This window comes from Homo sapiens, chromosome 3 (genome assembly GCF_000001405.40).
Source record: "Homo sapiens chromosome 3, GRCh38.p14 Primary Assembly".
Lineage (NCBI taxonomy): Eukaryota > Metazoa > Chordata > Mammalia > Primates > Hominidae > Homo > Homo sapiens.
The window spans coordinates 152,661,037-152,682,961 of NC_000003.12; the positions used below are offsets into that span (position 1 = coordinate 152,661,037).

Here is a 21,925-nt window from a genome sequence, read left to right on the forward strand (position 1 = left end):
CTAGTCTATGTATGTTCCAGTTTGACTGTTCAGCTATAGTCTGAGTAAGAACTGGATATGTCCTTGCTTTTTTGATGGCATAGTCCTTGTTGATTAGCTTTTCTTTCATCAGTACTCTTGATTCAGTCTTACTGTGCTCTGATCATGCTGTCTACAAGTAATGGTAAAGGGGGTGTTTTGCCTCCTATACACCTTAACATAGAAAAATAGATCACATAGTTTTTCACTGTGCATGATATTGAGTGGTTGTGTCTGCATTCTTTCTTTTGTGTCTCATACAGCTTGGCTCTGTGTCCCCACACAAATCTCATGTTGAATTGTGATCCCAAGTGTTGAAGGAGGGATCTGGTGGGAAGTGTTGGATCATGGGAGCTAATTTCTCCCTTGTTGTCCCTGTGATAGTGAATGAGTTCTCATGAGACCTGGTTGTTTAAAAGTATGTAGCAATTCACCCTTTGCTCTCTCTCCTGCTGGCCATGTGAAGAAGTGCTTGCTTCCCCTTTGCCTTCTGCCATGATTGTAAGCTTCCTGAGGCCTTCCCAGCTATGCTTCCTGTACAGCCTGTGAAACTGTGAGCCAATTAAACCTCTTTTCTTTATAAATTACCCAGTCTCAGGTAGTTCTTTATAGCAGTGTGAGAACAGACTAATACAATGTCATTTAATAATTTGACTTTCACTTCATCCTAATTTCCAGAGAACTTTGCTCCTAAATTACTTACATATTTATTATTTTATAGGGTTTCATACATATGTAGTATATATGTATGAAATATATATATAATAGGGTTTATATATATGAGAAATACATATTTTGTAGGGTTTCATACATACATATATATACACACACACACGTATGTAAGATTTCATATATGTATATGTATGTATGAAAACCTAAAAAATAATACAGGCAAAATAAGAGTAAATCTTCATGATCTTGGGTTAGGCAATAATATCTTAGATACCACACAAGCATAAGCAATTTAAAAATTTGATAAATTGTACCTAGTGAAATTTAAAACTATTGTGCTACAATAAACATGGTCAAGAAAATGAAATACAATCCATTGACTGGGAGAAAAGTATTTGAAAATTATATCTCTCATAAGAGACTTGTATTCAGAATTTATAAAGAATACCTATAGATAAATAATGAAATAAAAATGGACAAGAATTGAATAGACATTTTTCAAAGTGTATACACATTAACACGTGAAAATTTGTTCAGCACCATTAATCATTAGGAAAATGCAAATCAAAACCAAAATGAGTTACTACTTTACACCACTAGGGTAGCTATAATAAAAAAAACAGAAAACAACAAGTATTGGCAAAGATGTGGAGAGATTGGAACTCTCATACATTGCTTGTGGAAATGTAAAATGGTGTAGCCACTTTGGAAAACCATCTGGCAGTTTCTTAAAAAAAATTAAGCATAGACTTCCTATATGACCCAGCAATTCCACTGTTTATTACCTACCTAGGAGAAATGAAAACATATGTTCACTCGAAGACAAATTTACACAGCAACATTTTTCATAATAACCAAAATGTGGAAACTATTCAAATGTCAATCAACTGGATAAAAGACATGAAAAAACATGCCTTATACACATATAATGGAATATTACACAGCAATAAAAAAGAACAAGGTACCCATACGTACTATACTATGGAGAAACCTCAAAAATATTATGCTAAGTTGAGGGAGCCCAAAACAAAAGAACACATCTTATAATTTTATTTATATGAAATGTCTGGAACAAGCCAATCTATAGAACAAAAAGTAAATTAGTGACTGCCTAAGGCCAAGAGTTTGGGATGGAAAGGGTGGGTGGTGGGGAAGGGGAAGGGGTAGGAATAGGAATAGGGAATAACTACAAATAAGCAAAATATTTCTTCTCAGGGTGATGGAAATATTTCAAAATTAGATTGTGGTGATAGCTGTGCAACTCTGTAAATACACTAAAAAAAATCACTGAATTGCAAACTTGAAACAGTGAATTTTATAGTATTTAAATATCTCAATAAATCTCTTTAAAAGTAATAAGGTACATCCAAGAATTATAAATTCAACTGCTATTTACATACTGCTGAAGTAAAATAAAATATAGAGATGAATGTCTGAAATTAAAATGTTTTTTCTGGGAAGAAAGAATTGCAATTTGGGGCATGTATGCAGACTGGCTGGTCTTGAGTATGACAGAACAAAGAGAAGGTAAGAGGTATTATTAAAAGGAGAAATGTTATGTATTGCTCTTTAAGAAACGTCATTGGCAATAGTGAAGTTTGGGGGAGCTGGTAAACTCTGACTAGTGAGTGATTGAACTGGGTAAAACTCGTCTTAAAGTTGCAGCAGGTTGTTTCAGTAGTCTTTAGATAAAACTGGCATCAGGTTACAGTTGGCAGGTTCAGCAGCCAGGCTTACAGACAATTACATTTTTGGAGCAATGTTATGTGCCCTGAGAGCTTTTCCCTGCTGGCTTTTCAACTCTGTTTTAGTTGGGTGTGATAAGAATAACCCAATATGTATTATCAACTTTCGCAATACCAAAGATGCTCATAGCTTTAACACAGATGTATTGTGAGGGAAAAAGACTCAGTAGTGTTGGAAATTGGAAATTATTCTATAAATTCTTTCTCTCTATAGTACACAAATTCTTCATAAAGTTTTCTGTCTTTTTTGGGGGATAGGGTCTTGCTCTGTCTCCCAAACTTGAGTGTAATGGCACTGTATTAGTCCATTCTAACTTTGCTGTAAAGAAATATCTGAGACTGGGTAATTTATAAAGAAAAGAGGTTTAATTGGCTCACGGTTCTGCAGGCTGTACAGGAAGCATGATGCTGGCATCTGCTCAGCTTCTGGGGAGGCCTCAGAAAACGTTCAATCATGGCAGAAGGCGAAGGGGAAACAGCCACATCAAATGACCAGAGCAGGAGCAAGAGAGCAAGTGGGGAGGTTCCACACTTTTAAATGATCAGATCTTGTGAGAGGTCACTTACTATCACGAAGACAGTACCAAGGGGATGGTACTAAGCCATTCATGAGAAATCCATCCCCAGGATACAATCACCTCCCACCAGGCTCCACTTCCAACACTGGGGATTATATTTCAACATGAGATTTGGGTGGGGACACATATCCAAACTATATCCAGCACCATCATAGCTCATTGCAGCCTTGAGCTCCTGGGCTCCAGCAATTCTCCCACCTCAGCCTTTCGAGTAGCCACCATGCCCAGCTTATTTTTAAAACATTTGTTTTTGTACAGTTGGGGTCTCCCTATGATGCCCAGGCTAGTGTCTTACACCTGACCTCAATTGATCCTCGCACTTTAGCCTCCCAAAGTGCTGGGATTACCGGCATGAGTCCTTGTGCCTGGCCCTACAAAGTTTTTTTTTGTTTGTTTGTTTTTTTTTTTTTTTTTTTTTTTTGAGATGGGGGTCTCACTCTGTCGCCCTGGCTGGAGTGCAGTGGCGCGATCTTGGCTTACTGCAACCTCCGCCTCCCAGGTTCAAGTGATTCTACTGCCTCAGCCTCTTGAGTAGCTGGGACTACAGGCTCACGCCACCATGCCCAGGTAATTTTTGTATTTTTAGTAGAGACAGGGTTTCACCATGTTGGCCCGGATTGTCTCAAACTCCTGACTTCGTGATCTGCCCACTTGGGCCTCCCAAAGTAATTTTTAAATAAAATTTAGTTAAAACGAAAACCAAACACTTCCCATTAAAGATGATACACTAAATTTGCTGTTTGTTTTTCTCACTGCATGATATGTAATTTACTCTTTTGAAAGTATAGACATTTGAAACACATCAGGAGTCTAATACTTCACTTGCTTTCAAATTTATTTTCACTTAAAGAATGAAAGCCACAATTATGAATATGATTTGCTTTATGTTTCATGTACCAACAAGTACATAGGAATGTGTATTTCTTAATCCAAGCTCTGTTACTAACAAGCAGGGTGACCTCAAGCAGGCTTCATAAATTCTATATAATTTTTCCTACCCTTAAAATGACAATAATAAAGGTATAGGCCCCACAAACATGTTGTGGACATTAAATCAATCAATACATGTAAGCCACTTTGAAGAATGCCCAGCAGATAATAAGCACTCAATAAACATAAATTATTATTGCTATATTTCTTTACTAAGATGAAGAGTTTTCTGAGGTCTTTTGTATACAAGAACTCCGTCAGAAATCATTTAATCCTCGTATTCTTTTGCTCACTTTAGACGTCTGTGAAGAAACAGGTAGATACATCTGATTCTAACCAGGTAGGAAAATATAGGCTGTTTTCTTTCAATGGACAGAGCAGTAAGGTAAAACAGAAATAATTGTGTCTACAAACTTTTGTTACAATGATGTGGGGCCTGGTACAATGAGAGCCTCATGGGTGTTACTCAGAGTGGTTTATTTCTTTTCCTTCCTCACAGTGGTACTGTGAGGTTGATGGTGTTGGCTACAACTTTACAGCTAAAGATGACAATGGTCAGAATAGAGAAGGTGATGAGAGGGTAAATGGTGTCCTTAAGGAGGGCTATTATATGTGAGCTAATGTGTCCAATACACTAGGCATATTAACTCTGGGCATAGTGTTACACCTATTTATACATGGAGACACTAGAGCTTAGCGATGGCAATATTCACTCAGTCAGCAAGCTAGATAGTAACAGAGACAAGACTCAGACTTCAAAGAAACTCCTATTATTCCCACAACAACACTCTGTCTTTCCCAAATACCAACCACACAGTCTGATACATTGAAAAAGTCAATTCTTTACTGCTTGAGATAAGTTGCAAGCCACCAATCCTTCCCTCCTGGAAGATTTTATTTGACAGCTGGGTACAGCTTGTGTCTCTTTTTTCTTAATTTTGAAATCTGCTCTTCCCTTTACCCTAGATCTATATAGTTCATTTTAATGTGGTTCTCTGCAGCCCACATTTTCCTGTTTAAATCTTTCCTCTGACAAGTGATCGTTTATAAATGCAATAACAGATATTAGTTGTGACAACTACATTGAAATAATTTGTATGGTAAAATTACTTCTAAATTAGTTTTTGGTAGTGCATAGATTTGCAGCTTAGTATTGTATAATTTGTACATGAAATTGGGTTATTCTGTCTGTGATTACAAAAACAGTCAGGGGCATGGGAGACATAAGAAAAAATTAAATTGATTAGTTTAAAGAGGATACATTAGTATGGCAAGAATATTTTTTTCCTGTCCATAAAATCCCACTTTAATCGTGTTATTCCCCATATCAGAACTCTCAATAATTCCCCAGTCCTTTTAAAAAGCAAACTGTTTATATAGTTTTCAAGTTTATCGGGTACTTCTCCAGTCACATCTCTCATAGCTTCTCTTAAAAACTTCCTGCTCAACCCACTGCCTGTTCAGCACATATCCACCTCTTTCATTTTATGTACTATTTACTTTCACTGTAATACTCCACATTCCTCTCTGGCTATATGCATCCTACTCCTCCTTCAAATCTCACTTACTTCATGAAGAGCCTTCCTTGCCTTCTCTCTCCTCTGAACTCCTATGTTCTTAGTGTAGTTGTCATTTACATGATTTTAGAGATAATTTGTAAATCCTGTTATATTTTAGAAGAGGAGAATGAAGATAAATTAGGTTGTGCAACATGACCTCTTTCTGATTGAGCTCATTAAGAACAAGGCTCATGCTTTCCTACGGTTACAACATCAAAAGGAAAAAAAAAAAAAAGAAGAACAAGGCTGATTTTAATTGCTCCAGGTGGTGGTGGATGCCTACAATACGGAAAGCATTGTGCTAAGAGCTTCTGGGATGCAAAGTGAATAAGATTATCTATATGAATTACCTACTTTCAGAACAAGGCTTTCTATGTCTTAAAATAAAGGAAGAGAAGGTATTGTCTGATATTTTCTGGCTTTATGACTCTGAAGGCCCTTTTATAGACTTCAGGAAAAAGTTTATATTAACACTAAGGAAAGATGTGAATGGTTTATTTGTCATCCAGCTTGGGAAATTCACTTCTCTGAGTGTCTTTCCAAATGTGCATATTGGCTGATGTGATGATTAATTTTATCTATCAACTTGGCTAGGCCAGGGGACCCATATATTTTGCCAAACACATCCTGATGTTGCTTTGAAGGTGTCTTTTGGATGAGATTATATAAATCAGTTGACTTTGAGTAAAGCAGATAACCCTCCATAATACAGGTAGGCCTCATTCAACTCATTCAATCAGTTGAAGGCCTTACTGGAAAAAAAAAAAAATAAAGACTGACTTCCCTAGAAGAGCAAACTCTACCTGTAGTCTGTCTTTTTATTCTTTCTTTCTTTCTTTTTTTTTTTTTTTGGATATGGGGTCTTGCTATGTTGCCCAGGCTGGTCTCAAACTCCTGGGCTCAAGCAATTTGCCTGCCTCAGCCTCCTAAAGTGCTAGGATTACAGGTGTGAGCCACCATGCTTGGCTCCTGCAGTCTGTCTTTGGTCTCAAGTGGCAATATCAACTCATCTCTGGGTCTCCAGCCTGCTGGTCTACCCTGAAGAATATGGATTTAGCCTCCACAATTGCATTAGCCAATTCCTTAAATAATCTCTCTCTCCTCTCTCTCTTCTCTCTCTCTCTCCCTCCCTCCTTTCTCCAACTTATTGATTATTTTTCTCTGGAGAAACAATACAGCTAAGGCCCAGTTTAGCACTAGTTGCCTATGATTTATGTATAAAATAAAATTTATTTTTCAAATTAGGGTTCAACTTTGTACACAAATCCTTGTCTGCATTAATTACTTTTCCTTAGTTTATATCCTTGAAGTGGAATCACTACATCAAAAGATATTAACATTTTTAAGATCCTTGATACTTATTTAGGTTGTATAAAATACCACAGGGCTTTGTGGCATGTTCCCTGAATTTATAATTTTGCAATTTGAATAGCGTAGAAGAAATAATTACAGAATTTTTGCAATTTGCATAGTGTCATTTATTTTACTTCTCTTTCTTTTCTATGAGGTGCTCCCTTTTCATTCTATGCCTTCGTGGATAACAGCAGCAATACTAGTCTATGAATATCAATTTTTTCCCATAGGCCTTAATCTTTTTCTGCTTGTGGCTGAGAAGATACCTCTGTCTAAAGCCACTCATATGAGAAACGAGTAGCTTCTAAAATACTGTTGGAGCAAAAAGGCACTTTCTAGCTACATGTGTAGGACAGTATACCCTTACAAAAAAGTTTAATTCAGTTCTCCTAAATATTATACATTCATTTTTACTGAACATTGACCTGAATGCACCCACACCTGTTATGCTGTTGTGCCATGTTTTTCTCTAAGTCTCCACTGATAGGACTTAGATTCATATTAATGCATTTTTCTTTAATATATTTATTCAGCAAATAGTTACCCAGTTTTTAGTATATGCCAGACACTGGGATACAGCATGGAGAAAACAGACTTTTGTCTGCTCTGTGGAGCTTACATTCTAGTGGGAAAAGCATATCTTTGCCAAATGCACAAAAGTTTTAAAAATTAAGAAAGTAAAAAAAAAAGGTAAAATGAAATGGTTGGAATTACAAAGTAGGAATGGGTTGCAGCTGATTTTTCTTCTTTTTTTCTAAGGTACATGAGCCATGGGAACATTGTATTCATGACCCTTTTGTAACATATAGCCTTTGGAGGGTCTGGATTCTACTTCCGAACTCTCACTGTTCTCTTGGGCTTGGTGGCCTCCCAGAACCCTGCCGGGTAAGCTAGAAGACGCAAAGCTTTCAAGGGAAGTGTTAGTACATTTGATAGAGTTATTTTAAATTTATAAAACTAAATTATGTGCATTATCAAAGCTTCATAAAATAATCAAGGAGAAAGAAAAATTGACAGTTCAACTTACAATCAAGAGAGAACCACTATAACACTTTAATATATTAAAATATGTAATTGAAATAAAATATGTACATATAAATGTACATACTTTCAACACCAGGCTCATATTGTACATAGTATTTTGTAGCCTATGTTTATACTTAAAATTACGTTGTGGGATTTTTTGCTGTTTTTAAGTATTTTCTCAGAACATGATATTGAATGACTGTAAGAGTGTTCGTAATGCACCTAACCCATGTACTATTGGTGGGCATTTATCCTTTCTTTATCTGTTTATCTTATTATAGCACCTCTGATTACTTCCTTAAGATAATTTCGTAGAAGTAAAATTATTTTATCATTCTTGATGCATATATCTACATACTCCCACCAACAATGTGTACAAACACTAAAGAGGTTATATTAAAGGGCAAAAATCAACCAAAGACTGGAAAGTAAGATGAACAGATAAATGACAGCAGTGCACAGTCTTACAGGTATCCACAGTGATAATTGCTGTCTTTGGTGAGGACTGTCTCTGTTCGGGTCCAACCATGTCTTTAGGTCCATGTTCACATTGGTTGTTTAATGGGCTGAGTAGTATTTTACAAGTAAGATTTGGGCATTCTTCCAGCTCTGGCCAGTATTTATATAGTCAAACTCATTTCTTTGCACAAAACAGCTGAAGTGAGACTCTTCCCTTGAAGGTTTCTGGGAGTCTGTAATGTGTTACTGGCAGGAGAATCGCTTGAACCCGGGAGGCAGAGGTTGCAGTGAGCTATACCCTCAGCCTCATAGACCTTCTTTCTGTCCCTTGAACTTAATTAAGCTCATTCTAATTCCAGTACTTTGCACTTCCAGTTCTGTATTTCTCTTTTCTCATGTCTCCTCTTCTCGATTTTACTGATTCTGACGTAAATGATCTAAAACATCTCCCTCCCCCCATTACTGCTCTCTTTCTTAATACTCTGCTTTATTTTCTTCTTAGTGCTTAGCATTATTGGAAATTACACCATTTATTTATTTGTTTTTTTCTTGTCTGTTTCTTCTTGATGGAATATAAACTCTATGAAGGCAAGGATCTTCTGTGGCTTTTTCAATATTTGCTATATCACTCTGCATTTTGAACTGTGCTGAATATAATAAATATGTGTCAAATGAATGAAGGCAAAAAGGAGTAAATGACAAGTACCAAATATACTAGCTCTGGGCTGGCAAGACACTCTACTTTTCTCCTAGTGTGCTCATTTTAACACAGAAAATTTAGCCTTTAGTTATCTCTATTCATTCAGTCTCAGCCTGTTTCTAAGTAAAGCTGTATTCAAATATGCAATTTAAAAAATCTTAATCTTATATGTCTTGAGAAGTGCCTTCCGTTCCTCAAGTAAAGCTGGAAGTTCTTACCTTTATCATCAGAGATAACTTTAAAATAATCCTATGCAAGTTTAGAGTTGTCCTACATCCTAATATTTGCCCTACAACATATTTAAGAAATTAAAGTCACACATCATTTTTTTAGTTATTCTTTAATTATTTTTAAATTTTTGTGTAAAGTTTCACATTACATTTTTGATCTCATTTTATTTACTGTTTATCTACTTTACTCTCCAATTTCTTAAATAAGATTAAAAGGCAAAACATACCAAAAGTCCTAAAGAAGTTGATTGGCACATGGCAGGCCCTCAAAATGGATTAATTATCTCTCTAGGAGTGTATCTCTTTATTTTCTGAAAAGACATAGAATGAAAAAAACCAAGAAGCAGATATCAAAACAATATGTGAAGGAGGGAAAATACTGTTATTTTTCCTTTTTAATCTCTCTTTTTAAAAAGCGTTATTGCTTTCTGTATCTTCTTTTCCAAAATTTGATAAATTGGGAAACTCATTCCAATAACAGTTAAGGAATATTCAAGAGAAATAGGATTTATACATTGATCTGAGCTCTGCCTGCTAATCAGCATATTGCTAATGGGCAGACATCTGGAATGCTGTTTTCTTAATGCAAAACTAGAGGTTTCAAACTGGTGGTCTCTAAGATGATGATGTTAAAGAAAAACTAACTGACTACAAAACTGGGTTACTTTACACACGTACAAAAAAATTCTTGTTTTTGGTTCTCTCAAAATAATGATTAGAAATCGGACAGCACTAACACCATAGTTCTAAATGGCAATATTTGGCTGCAGATATATACTGTCAGCTCTGTCCACATGGGGTATATTCTCTGCAGTGACCCACACTCATTTTTGTTAGGCTTTGCTCATTTACGCCACATTCTTGGCCCTGGAGACATCAGAATATGTTCTTCCTGAATGATGCGCTCTCCCAGGTACCTTATTTCCCTGACTCAATGGGACCTTGAGTATCCACCCCTGGCTTTGTTTTGCTTAGCCCACTGCCCCAACCTTACCACATTAAGAGAGACCAGGACTATTTTGTGCATTCTGGACTTGGGCCTGCACCATGGGTGAGGGCTGTGGTTTGTCTTCAGTTTGTGCCCAAGTTGAGGTGAGACACTTGAGAGAAAAAAAGAAAGGGGTGGGGAACCAAACAGTCAACCAAACAAGCAAAATGAAACAACCAGGGAATTAAGAGAAAATGGTAGAGAAGAGAAGTAAATCAGAGTTTTGGCTTTTCTCCCTCATCTGTCTGACTAAATTTATGTTGACTTTGTCTGTATTTAATTTATAGTGTGCCACTCATTTAGAATAGGCTTCAAAAATGTGAACTCCCCTCCAAATTTTGGCCTCGTTAGGAAGTGGAGAGTGTGTGATAGCGTTATCATTAAGAGGAAGTTTAAAAAAAAGCCAAAATTACACTTATGTATGTATTTTTGAAGAAACTCATTTTTTGTGCGTGTGGTTTGAGAAAAGCAAAATTTGGGAGGAATTTGGAAAAGAGGATTACTCATCAAAAGGTAGATGATGCTTAAAAACAAAATGGGAACGACGACCTTAAAAATGGGAACGACTGGGGAGAAAACTGACAAGGACACATTAGAGCTGCACTTCACTAGCAGCATGAATGTGGTAATGGTGAAAGGAGAACAATATCTGAAAGGAAATGAAGGTCTTATCATAGGAGCCACAGAGATTTCATTTTTGTTTTTCTGAAAATTATCATTATCAGCTGTGACTGCTGATGAAGGACCACTTAGCATTCCCCCCAAGGAATAATTGCCAACCTCCTCTTTGGCCCGACCTCACATGGACTAACACGACAAAGACATAATTTTGCCCTAATTCTGAAAAGAACAGGAAACAGTGATGTAATCTATTTGTTTAATTCTAGGAATCTTTCCCTAAAGTCTGCTTTTGCACTGCCAAACTGGGAAGGGATGTCTGGGGGAGTAATTAAAGGCTTTAAATGTGGAAGAAAGAGATTCTTAGTGCAGTGTGGGGAGTCTCAATGAGATTAATGGGAAACAAGGGAAATTTAGATGGACAAGCAAAAGCCAGTGGGAGTTATGTCAATACTGCACAAGGTGTTTAAGGTCGGTGCCCATGAGGGCTGGTCAGCTCCAGTTTACCCTTGCACAGTCTGTGCTTAGCAAATGAGTACTTTAAACAAGGTTGCCAGAGGCAGAGAAACGTCTGGGAAAGAGGTCTGGGAAAGAGAACAGGCTCCTGAAGGACTTGCGCTGCTTCCTGTTGCTTATAGATTGGTGTAGATAATGCATAAAGTCCTTTCCTTAGAACTTCTAAGTTTAGACTCATTAGAGTTACTGGTAAGACCTGAACACATAAAGTGTGCATGTAAAAATTACATTCTGTAATGCTAATTATATATATATATACCTTCAAATATATATACAGTCAGAATCTAATCTGACACACACATATATATATATATATATATATATATATATATATATATATATATACACCTTCAAATTAGCATTACAGAATGTAATTTTTATATATATGACAATTCTACAGGCAATCTCAGCTGGACATAGTCAAAACTGAAGTCATTTGTTTTCCTCCTGCTTTGCTGGCTGATTTGTTTTTCCATCTCCTTTACTAGTCTTTCCTCTTCTTTATAACCCATATGTGTTTGCCGAATTCAGAGACTGGTTCTCAGTATTCATGCTTCTCAGGTGAACTCACTCAGATTTATGGCTTTAGTGGTAGATATACTCTTACTGCCAAATTAATATCTGCATCGCTGACCCAATTCCTGAGTTTTGGGTTTATATGTTTAACTGCTTACTGAACGTCCCTACTTTACGGTTTCCAATCTTTTCAGTATCTAATAGATACTGTGTTACATGTATCTATTAGATACAAGTGTTACATGTTCAGAGAACTCTTGAGTGTAAACTTGATGATGTTTGGGGAAGATTTTTTTCTAGAGAAGTGCTAGAGATGTAGTCAAAACTTGCTACATATGTGGTGAATTAATAAATATCCTGATTTACTCCCAAACCTGTCTTTTGTCCAGTATTTTTTAAATTTTAGTTAATTTTACAGCTGTATATCTAGCTGCCTAAGCTAGAAAACTTGGAGGCATTCTCAACTCTTCCTGTACCTCACCTTCCATGTCAGATCAATCATTAAATTATCTTAATCTACATTAGAAAATTATCTGTAATCCATTTTTTTCCTATCACCACCATCACTGCATATTCTTGTCTTCTCTAACAAAGGCATTATACCTTTTGCTATGGACTGGATTGTGTTCTCCTTAAAATTAATATGTGAAGTCCCAACTCCCAATACTTCAACATGTAACTGTACTTGAAAATAGGGCCTTTAAAGAGGCCAATGGGGGGGCCTGAATCTAATCTGACTGATGTCCTTATGAAAAAAGAAAATTTGGACATACAAAGAGACACAAGAGATGCATGCACACAGAAGAAAGACCACGTGAGGCTACAGTGAGAAGCTGGCCATCTGCAAGCCAAGAAGACAGGACTCAGAAGAAACCAACCTTGTCAACATCTTGATCTTGGACTCGTAGCCTCCAGAAGAGTAACAAAATAAATTTCTGTTGTTTAAGCCACCCAGACTATAGTATTTTGTTATGGCAGGCTGAGCAAACTAATACATTCTTCCTAAAAAGATCCTCCAGTCTTCCCTAATAAGATGTCATCTTATCTCTCTCTCTCTCTCCCCCCCCACCCCCCACCGCTTTCTCTCTCTCTCTCTCGCTCTCTGTCTCTCCATCCGTCCGAAGTGGATTATAAAAAGAAAAAAAAAGTAAAGACAGAAAAATAAATATAAATAATACATACTCAAAGAATAAAACAGGGTCTCATGTATCTTTCTCTGTGGTCTTTATGCTTCCCTATGTGATCTTTCTTAAAGATGATCACAACAGTAAATGCGGATGTTACTTCATTGCTTCAAAGTGTTTGGCTCCTTATATCCTGACAAATTGCAAAGGCTTAGCAGTGTATTCAAATGCGATTTACCATTTGTTTTCCCCCACTTGCCTTTCCAAATCCATCTTATCTGTGGCCTAAGAAAGAGTAAAGCAAGAATCAGAATTCCAGAGAGAAGCAAAGAGGAGCGATAAAGACACAGATAACCGGGCTCCCATTGGAAACATGTCATTAATTAGAACACATTGACAATTCCATATTCATTGTCGTAGTAAATAAAGAGTAAAGAATATTATGGGAGGAAAAAGAAATAGAACTAAATTTCAAATGGGAAGCCTTAGGAATTTACCTGGAGCTGTCAAGGAATGATGCCTTCTGCCTGGAAAAACTCTTAATATCCCATAGATTCTAGGACTGGTTTAGAAGAGGCATGTGGAATCCAGAATACTGGAGATTTCTTTGATTGCATCTCTGTCTCCTCCTCTTTTGTCTCATTTTGCTTTTTCCAGATGTACTTGTAATACTCTTAGAGAGAAATAGGGTGTTTTTTTCTTTTTCTTTTTTTTTTTAAGGTTGGGCTGGAAATAGAGGGCTTTGGTCTTCTTGTAAATCTACTAGATACATGGTGCTAACATCCTAACTCTCTGCTCATTTCAATTTTGAGCTCAGAATATAGGCTTACAAAGATTGCCTGGGATTTGACAATTCTTGAAGCTCTAAGCATTTTTGAAGCATAAGGGTTCATTGCAGTTTTCTATACCAGAAGAACGAATATTACAGCTCTAAAGGTTAGTAGAAAGGATCTACTCTTATATAGATTGAAAAAACAATAAGGGAAAGAACTGCTTCCTGGAACTGATAAAATTTTATATTATCAGCATTACTAACTGAACAAACCCAAAAAATCTCCAGATTTTTTTTCTTTTTAGCTTGTGTTCCTTGTAAGTGTTAATTCCATAAAGGAGTATAGGTTTGGAGACTGAATAGAAGTAAGGTAATCTGGTGAATTCTAATAATTCCCCCTTCTTTGTCTCAGAAGATACAAGGGTATCCCATGTACTTCCCATAAAGAAAATATTAGAGAAGGCAGGTATATGAATTTTAAGTATTTCCTAGCAGAGGACCTTATGGTAAGAATATCTGATATCTCTACTGTTATGTCTCAGTAGGTAAACATACACACTTGCCTATTAATTAGCAGATGTTTCTTCTGTAACAATTACCAATATATTAAGACCTCTAGGACTGTGAGTGATACTCCAGGACAGAAAATCATTGAGTAGATCAATTTTTTGAATACTAAAACACTTATAAATTTTTTATTATAATTCTTACGAGAAAGTTAAACAACCTCAGCACTCAGCATTCAACATAATTTCAAACATATGAGAGTTCTTATTTGGGCAATTGTGACTATCATTCCTAGAAACAAAAGGGAGAAGACCTCCTTAATCAGCTCAGCCACATTCCCAGAAGCTAGGGTTGTGGAGCCAGGCTCAGTTTTGGCTCAGCCTCTAAGAAGTCTCCACCTGTAGGATAATGGGTTCTGTAGGTACTTGTGGAAAGTGACTTCTGTAGCTTTACAATGCCAGAAATAGTGCCATTGATTTTAATGATTGTACTTTTTCCAAGAAACTGAGTGAGTGGCCAAGAATCTGGGCAAAGTCACAGACAATGAGACATTACAGTCACCATGGATAGGTATCCACCTGGGGGCTGGCTGGAAGCCTTGCAAAATCTATCTAGAGTGGTAGACGTTAAGTCAGTGAGTGTTTAGGGGCTGAGGAACGTCAACGGCAGTAGAAAACTTTCTGGGCTGATGGAAATGTTCTATATTTTGACTGGGGGCTTGGTTACATGGTTATATACATTTGCCAAAACTCATCCATTAAAACTCATTCACTAATTAAAATGAATGAATTTTATTGTAGCTAAATAAAATTATGCCAAAGAATTGTTTAAAAATAAAAATCAGAGTTAGGATGGTGACTAACTTTAGAGGCAGGATCCTGAGAAAAAATAAGGAGGCAAAGAATATCCTGGAAATTTCCCTTTTCTGAGCCCTATGAGCCTGTTGTTCTTTCTCTCCCTGCCCCATAGGTAGGGTTCCCTGGAGGACCCCTCAGACTCCTCAGGCAGAACTTGTCTGCCTCTCTATTCTCTTCACAAAATTATTTACCCTATCTTCCCATGTTTGAGCTTATGATCTATTTTCACTCCTCATTTTAACCCTAGCACCTAGGTACTCTACAAATATGTGTTGAGTCAATTAATAGAAAAATAAATAAATGAAGGATGGAAAGAGCTCACTAAATTTTCAGCTCACTAAACTAGTTTCCTCATCTATAAGAGGCAGTTAATATTGCCTTTTCCATGAAACTGTAAGAATTACATGAAATAATAAGCTTGACATTTGATAGTTATTTTATCTTTTTCTTTCTTGATCACTAGATACTCCCCACACTAGAACAACCAGTTGTGCACTAAGAGTCAACAGAAACCCTGACAGAGAACCCCAGAGACAGGTGGTCATTGGACAGAAATGACAGGGTCAACTAGAGGGAGAATGATGGTGGCATAGACAGGGCTGTGAGGTGTATGTACTAGGTGATAGAGATGAAGGAGTGTTCCTCTACATCACAGTGTCCCTCCTTAGTTAAATGACAAATATTCTATTATAAGAAAATTAAGAGTTAAATATATCCTGTGGTGTAATGCTCTGTGAAGACAGGAATTAATGCCTGTATTGTTCCCTGCTTTATTTGCAGGGAATAAAGACTGGCACATTATAGGCACACAAATATTTGTTGTATGAAAGAAAGTCAAAACCAAAAAATATAGTCACTTTAAGTAAGACCAGAAGAAATGGGTAATACTTTTCTTTTTAAATGGCTTAGGATTTGGATTGCCATGGGAACTTTTCAGAATGGACTTTCACAAAAGCTTTGCTCTGAGAGCATGGAAGTTGGCTACAACGTTGCCTGGGAACAATACAAAGGAGGATGGTTTTGAATGTCAGTAACTTTTCTGAATATCCAGCCTACAAAATAAAACTTTTTCTTTAATTGTAAAGTAACAAAAGACCTCTGTAAATATTTGAAAAAGAATAGAGAAAATTAAACCATACCATTCAGATATATATAAGTTTAAGTTGTCGGTGTTTTTCCTTCCAGTCTGTGTTTTTAAGCAGAACATGAATAAATATATGCATACATTTTCAGAGTTGAAATTATAGTGTGGATGAATTTTTGCTTTCTGATTTTTACTACAACATCTTTTATGCATTTTGTCCTTAATAATTCTTCATACATTTTTAAATTTCTTCATATTCTATAGAGTGGGTATCCAACATTTATGAGAAATGAGTTTAGATGTATTGCAGAAAGATCGAGTCCTGGGCAGGTGCCATCAATAATGGCCAGCTCCAGAATGAAGCACGTGTACCTCTGTGATAATGATGTCATGCCCACCATGCCACTGAGAAGTAACACTTCCAGGAGTCAAAGAGAATGCATGTCAGACTAATTATATTACAAAGACAGCTGAGGACCTAGAGTTGTGAGGAAAAGAAATAACTTGTGAGGAAAAAGACCTACAGGAAAGCCAGAAAATCAATGCTTAATGCTCTGTCAGCCTGTCAAAAGTATTTTTGGCACCAAGAGTACTGTCCATTATTAAGGAATAGAGGTAATGACGTATTTGTATGAGTGCTGGCATCCTTCTCCACCTACACACTTGAGCAGCCTTGAAAGAAGAGGTTTCTAAGTGAATTGTAAAAGCTCTCTAAGATGGATTATTTTTGCTGTAATGATAGCTAACATTTACTTATTGCTTATTGTGTACCAGTATCTGTTCTATGTTCTTTCCACCCATTAACTCATTTAATCCTTACAACAATTCCAATAAGTACTTTCCATTATTATTCCATTATCCATATTTTACAGACAGAATAAAGGAGGCACAGAGAAGTTATACAAATTGTCCTGGCACAAAAAACTGATAAGACTTAAGCCCAGGAGTACTGGCCCAAGAAGATATTAGGTTGGTACAAAAGTAATTCTGGGTTTTGCATTGTTGGAATTTGCCGTTTGATATTGGAATCCATTCTTAAATAAATGTGGTTATGTTATACATCAATTTAACGGGCATTTCTTACTTTATGTTTTTTTGCTGCTTATTTTATGTTTATTTTAGACTATGGAAATGATGTTGGAGAAAAAGCAAATTTGAGCGATTTTCTTATTTGAGTTCAAAATGGGTCTTAAAGCAGTGGGGACAACTGGCAACATAACAATGCATTTGGCCTGGGAACTGCTAACCAACTCTTAGTTCAATGGCGGTTCAAGAAGTTTTGCAAAGGAGACAATAGCCTTGAAGATAAGGAGCATAGTGGCCGGCCATCAGAAGTTGACAACGACCAATTGAGAGCAATATTTGAAGCTGATCCTCTTACAACTACACGAGAAGTTGCCAAAGAACTCAGTGTCGACCTTCCTATGGTTGTTCGGCATTTGAAGCAAATTGGAAAGGTGAGAAAGCTCCATACATGGGTGCTGCATGAGCTGAGTGAGAAGAAAAAAATCGTCATTTTGAAGTTTTGTCTTCTCTTGTTCTTCACAACGGTGAACTATCTCATGATTGGATTGTGACGTACGATGAAAAGTAGATTTTATATGACAATGGGCAATGACCAGCTCAGTGGTTGGACTGAGAAGACACTCCAAAGCACTTCCAAAAGCCAAATTTGCACCACAAAAAAAGGTCATGATCACTGTTGGGTGGTCTGCTGCCACTCCGATCCACTACAGCTTTCTGAATCCTGGCAAAACCATTACATCTGAGAAGTATGCTCAGCAAATAGATGAGATGCACTGAAAACTGCAATGCCTGCAGCTGGCATTGGTCAACAGAAAGGGTCCAATTCTTCTCCCAACCGCGTGTTGCAAAACTAATGCTTCAAAAGTTGAACGAAGTTTTGCCTCATCTGCCATATTTGCCTGATCTCTCACCAACTGATCACCACTTTTTTAAGCATCTCGACAGCACAACTTTTTGCAGGGAAAATGCTTCCACAACCAGCAGGATGCAGAAAATGCTTTCCAAGGGTTCATTTAATCCTGAACCATAGATTGTTAGCTACAGGAATAAACAAACTTATTTCTCACTGGCAAAAATTTGTTGATTATAATGGTTCCTATTTTGATTAATAAAGATGTGTTTGAGCCTAGTTATAATGATTTAAAATTCACGGTCTGAAACCGCAATTACTTTTGCACTAGCCTAATAAGTAAGTGTGTACTTGTGTGTGTGTGTGTATTTAATATATATTTGTATATATAACTCATAGTGTGTGTGTTTGTGTAGTTTCCCTATTGGTGTCTTTCCTAATCTAGTGAAACCTTGCCTGTGTTCCCCTCCAACTATGGCCCAACTTCTTATTATCTGTTTACAAAACTTGGAGAACTGCACTGGCTATAGCTAATTTTCTTACCTCACATGTTTATTCCAGCCCACTGGAAACTTTATTTATTTCTCACGTTGTATTAACATAGTTCTCTATAAGACCACCAACAGCCTTCCAGATGCCGTGAAGACTTTTAAGACATTGTACTATTGGAGCTCTTTGTAGCTTTTAAAACAGTAACTTCTTTCAAGATATTCTCTACCATTTAGTTTCTATATTGCTGAGCACCCTTGTTTCTTTTTGTATTTTTATAATACTTCTTCCTCTATCTGCTTAATACTTTCTTCCACTTGGGACCCTTAACATTGATATTCTCCAGATTTTCATTCTCATCCCATCATTTTTCTCACTTTACACATTTTCCAAGTCTAACATCATCATTTTTGAAGTTTTTGTCTATCGCCTTTATGTGATAATTCTTCAGCCTGTACTTTCCAAAACTGGACATAAGTCTATTCAGACTTTTATATCCACCTGTCAACTGCATGTGTTCTGAATGGCTGATAAGCACCTTAAATTTAACATGTGTAAAGCTCAACTCATTATCTTTTTCCCAAAACTTGCTTTTTCTTCTGTGTACTTTATCTCAGTTAATAGTACCATGCTCCATCCTTCACTAGCTAGAATATTAGTATCATTTTCATTTTCTCACTTTCCCATCCCCACATGGCATTAGTTTTCAAGACCTTCTTATTTTATTTCCTAAATATTACCCAAGTCTTGTATAAATGATGACACTTTAGGTTCTAAGTAACTGAAACAAAACTCAGCTTCAATTTCTCTTAGGCAAAAGGGAAACTATAGGCTTATGTCACCTTGATTGGGGGAAATATAATTGGGAGAGAAGGGAATTAATGCTATCAGGTGTCTCTTAATTTCTCAGTCTCTCTCATATTACCCCCACACTGTTTTCTGCCTTTCTCTGTGTGTTGGCTGTATATCCTTCCTGGAAATTGCAGAGTTACAGCTTCATATAGAGATGAAAGGGTCCTTCTTCTTTTAATGCCAATCCTAGAACTGATTTTTATTGACCCATCTAGTGTTATGTCTCCCCTGCTTGGCCCCAGTTAGTGTGGTGGGCTGGAGAATAAGAAGATAGAAGGAACTGACAGATTTGATCCATCCACATAGTAGCCCCTGTTAGAACCACACTGTTGGCATGGTGGAGGGCAAGTATTTAATCCCTAAATGGAGAAGTTGGTTTTATCAGAAGAATCAGAGAAAGGGGTGCTGCACAGGAAATCCTACACGTCCATTACAAATTAATTTCTCCCTCTCTAACCTTATGCTTCTCTTGTCTTTCTTTTCGCAACTAAAGTACCATTAGAACTTTCTTTCTTAACTGCCTGAGTCCAAGTCTTTTCCTCTCTAAATATATTAACACAGAGATCTGATTTCATAAAAATGAATAAATAAGATTTGTGTGTGTGAAATCATTACCCATCTACACAACACTCTTCCAATGGCTCCATTCACTTCCTGGTTAAAGTGCATATTTCTTCTTCCTCCAAGAAGCCTAGACTCATACTTAGCAATTCAACCTGAAGAAGAGCTTTCATTTCAGGTCCAATATTTTACCCTGTAGTAATATCAATAGGTTTTGTTTGTACTGAACACAATTAATTTTTCCTTTGTTTCTGCTTCTCAGATTAGTTTGCCCTTCTGTCTTTCTTCTATGACTGATTCCTTACTCTCTCTGCCCAACTCCTATTCAGTCTTTAATGTTCAGTTCTTATATAAATCACCCAGGAGATCTCTCTAATAGGTGTTGAACTTCCTCAATAATTTGTGCATATTTGTATCTTTGCAAACGAATGCTTATGTTTTTATCTTCTCCACTCAAATGCAAGCTCCTGAGAACAAGAACTAAATTAAATTATCTTGACATCCCTCATACAACAACATTGTCTGGTGAATGATAATCACTCTAGAAATACCATGAAAATGAAGTTAAGAATGGAAATACCACAAACTCAATCAATCATATGAGTTATTATTTCTGAGCTACCTGGAAAAATTCTACTCTAACACATTTATAAATCACATTTTTTACTTATGTGAAACCATGTTACTTTTTAAAAATTATACCCATTATATCTGAGGTTCAATTTAAAGACCTTTTGTTTAATTATCTGTTTTGAAAATTAGATGAACTGATTATTTTGATTTTTTAAATAAGTGGATGATTTCCAGAATCATATGCTAGTCTATATTTTCCAACAGAGCATATTGGCCAAAATAAAATTTTTCTTTGATTCTGAAACTTATACTATCCCAGCAACACCATAATTTTGTCACTTATATGATGCTTTTGTCACTTATACAATATTTGAAGAAGGTTTTGGATTTTAGGTCGGATCTCTACTAACCCTGGAATTCTTTAAAAATGAATACTTTGGCCTGGCATGGTGTCTCACACCTGTTATCCCAGAAATTTGAGAGGCTGAGGCAGAAGGATCACTTAAGGCTAGGAGTTTGAGACCAGCCTGGACAGCCTGTCTGTACAAAAACTTTTTAAAAATTAGCTGGACGTGATGGTGCCTGCCTGTAGTTCTAGCTACTTGGGAGGCTGGGGTGGGAGAATTGCTTGAGCTCAGAAGGTCCAGGATACAGTGAGTGAAATCCTTCCTCTAAATAAGTAAATAAATAAATATCTTTATCAACCTATATTAGTGCAATCTGTTCCATAGCTTTATTTGTCTAAACTGATCACTCTTTTTTTCCTTTTTTAAAATAATGCTTACCTTTTCCTTCACTTGCTTCATGGAAAACTTTCTCAGTCTCCTTGGCTGCTCCATTCATTCATTCAACAATTACTTCCTGGGTCCTTCCTGGGAGCTGTCTGTCAGTCCCCCTGCTCACCAGCCACTTTCTCCCATATGTCTCTCTTGTTTACTCCCATGAAGCCATGTTGTGCTGAACAGGGACCTCTCTTCTGAGCTCCAAAACCATATATCCATTTGTTTGCTTTATATCATGGATTTCAATTGCTACCTCTGACTCAGCATATTCCAAACTGAACATAGGTTTTCCTCCCCAGTTTTTGCTTTCTTTTCAGTGAATGTCACCATTACTCATGAGATATACAAGCCCAAACACTGGGAATAAGTCTTATCTTTTTCCTGTCCTTCATCATCCTATCAATCACCAAATCACATTGACCTTGCCTACTTGATAGCTATGTAATCATTCCTTATTTTTATCTCTACTATCACGATCATAGTCTCAGTCACCATTACTTATTTTTTTGCACTACTCTAATTCACTAGTAAATAGTCCCT

At 36.6% G+C, this 21,925-nt stretch overlaps 1 long non-coding RNA gene across 1 annotated transcript in view; it reads left to right on the plus strand.

Annotated features, from left to right (window-relative positions):
* LOC102724289 (uncharacterized) overlaps positions 1-18,424 on the plus strand; it is a 28,975-nt gene extending 10,551 nt beyond the window's left edge. The window contains exons 3-4 of the long non-coding RNA XR_924590.3: positions 17,125-17,221; positions 17,375-18,424. This is a non-coding gene — a long non-coding RNA (uncharacterized LOC102724289). The remainder of the gene's footprint in view (positions 1-17,124; positions 17,222-17,374) is intronic.
* Positions 18,425-21,925: the final 3,501 nt, after the last annotated feature.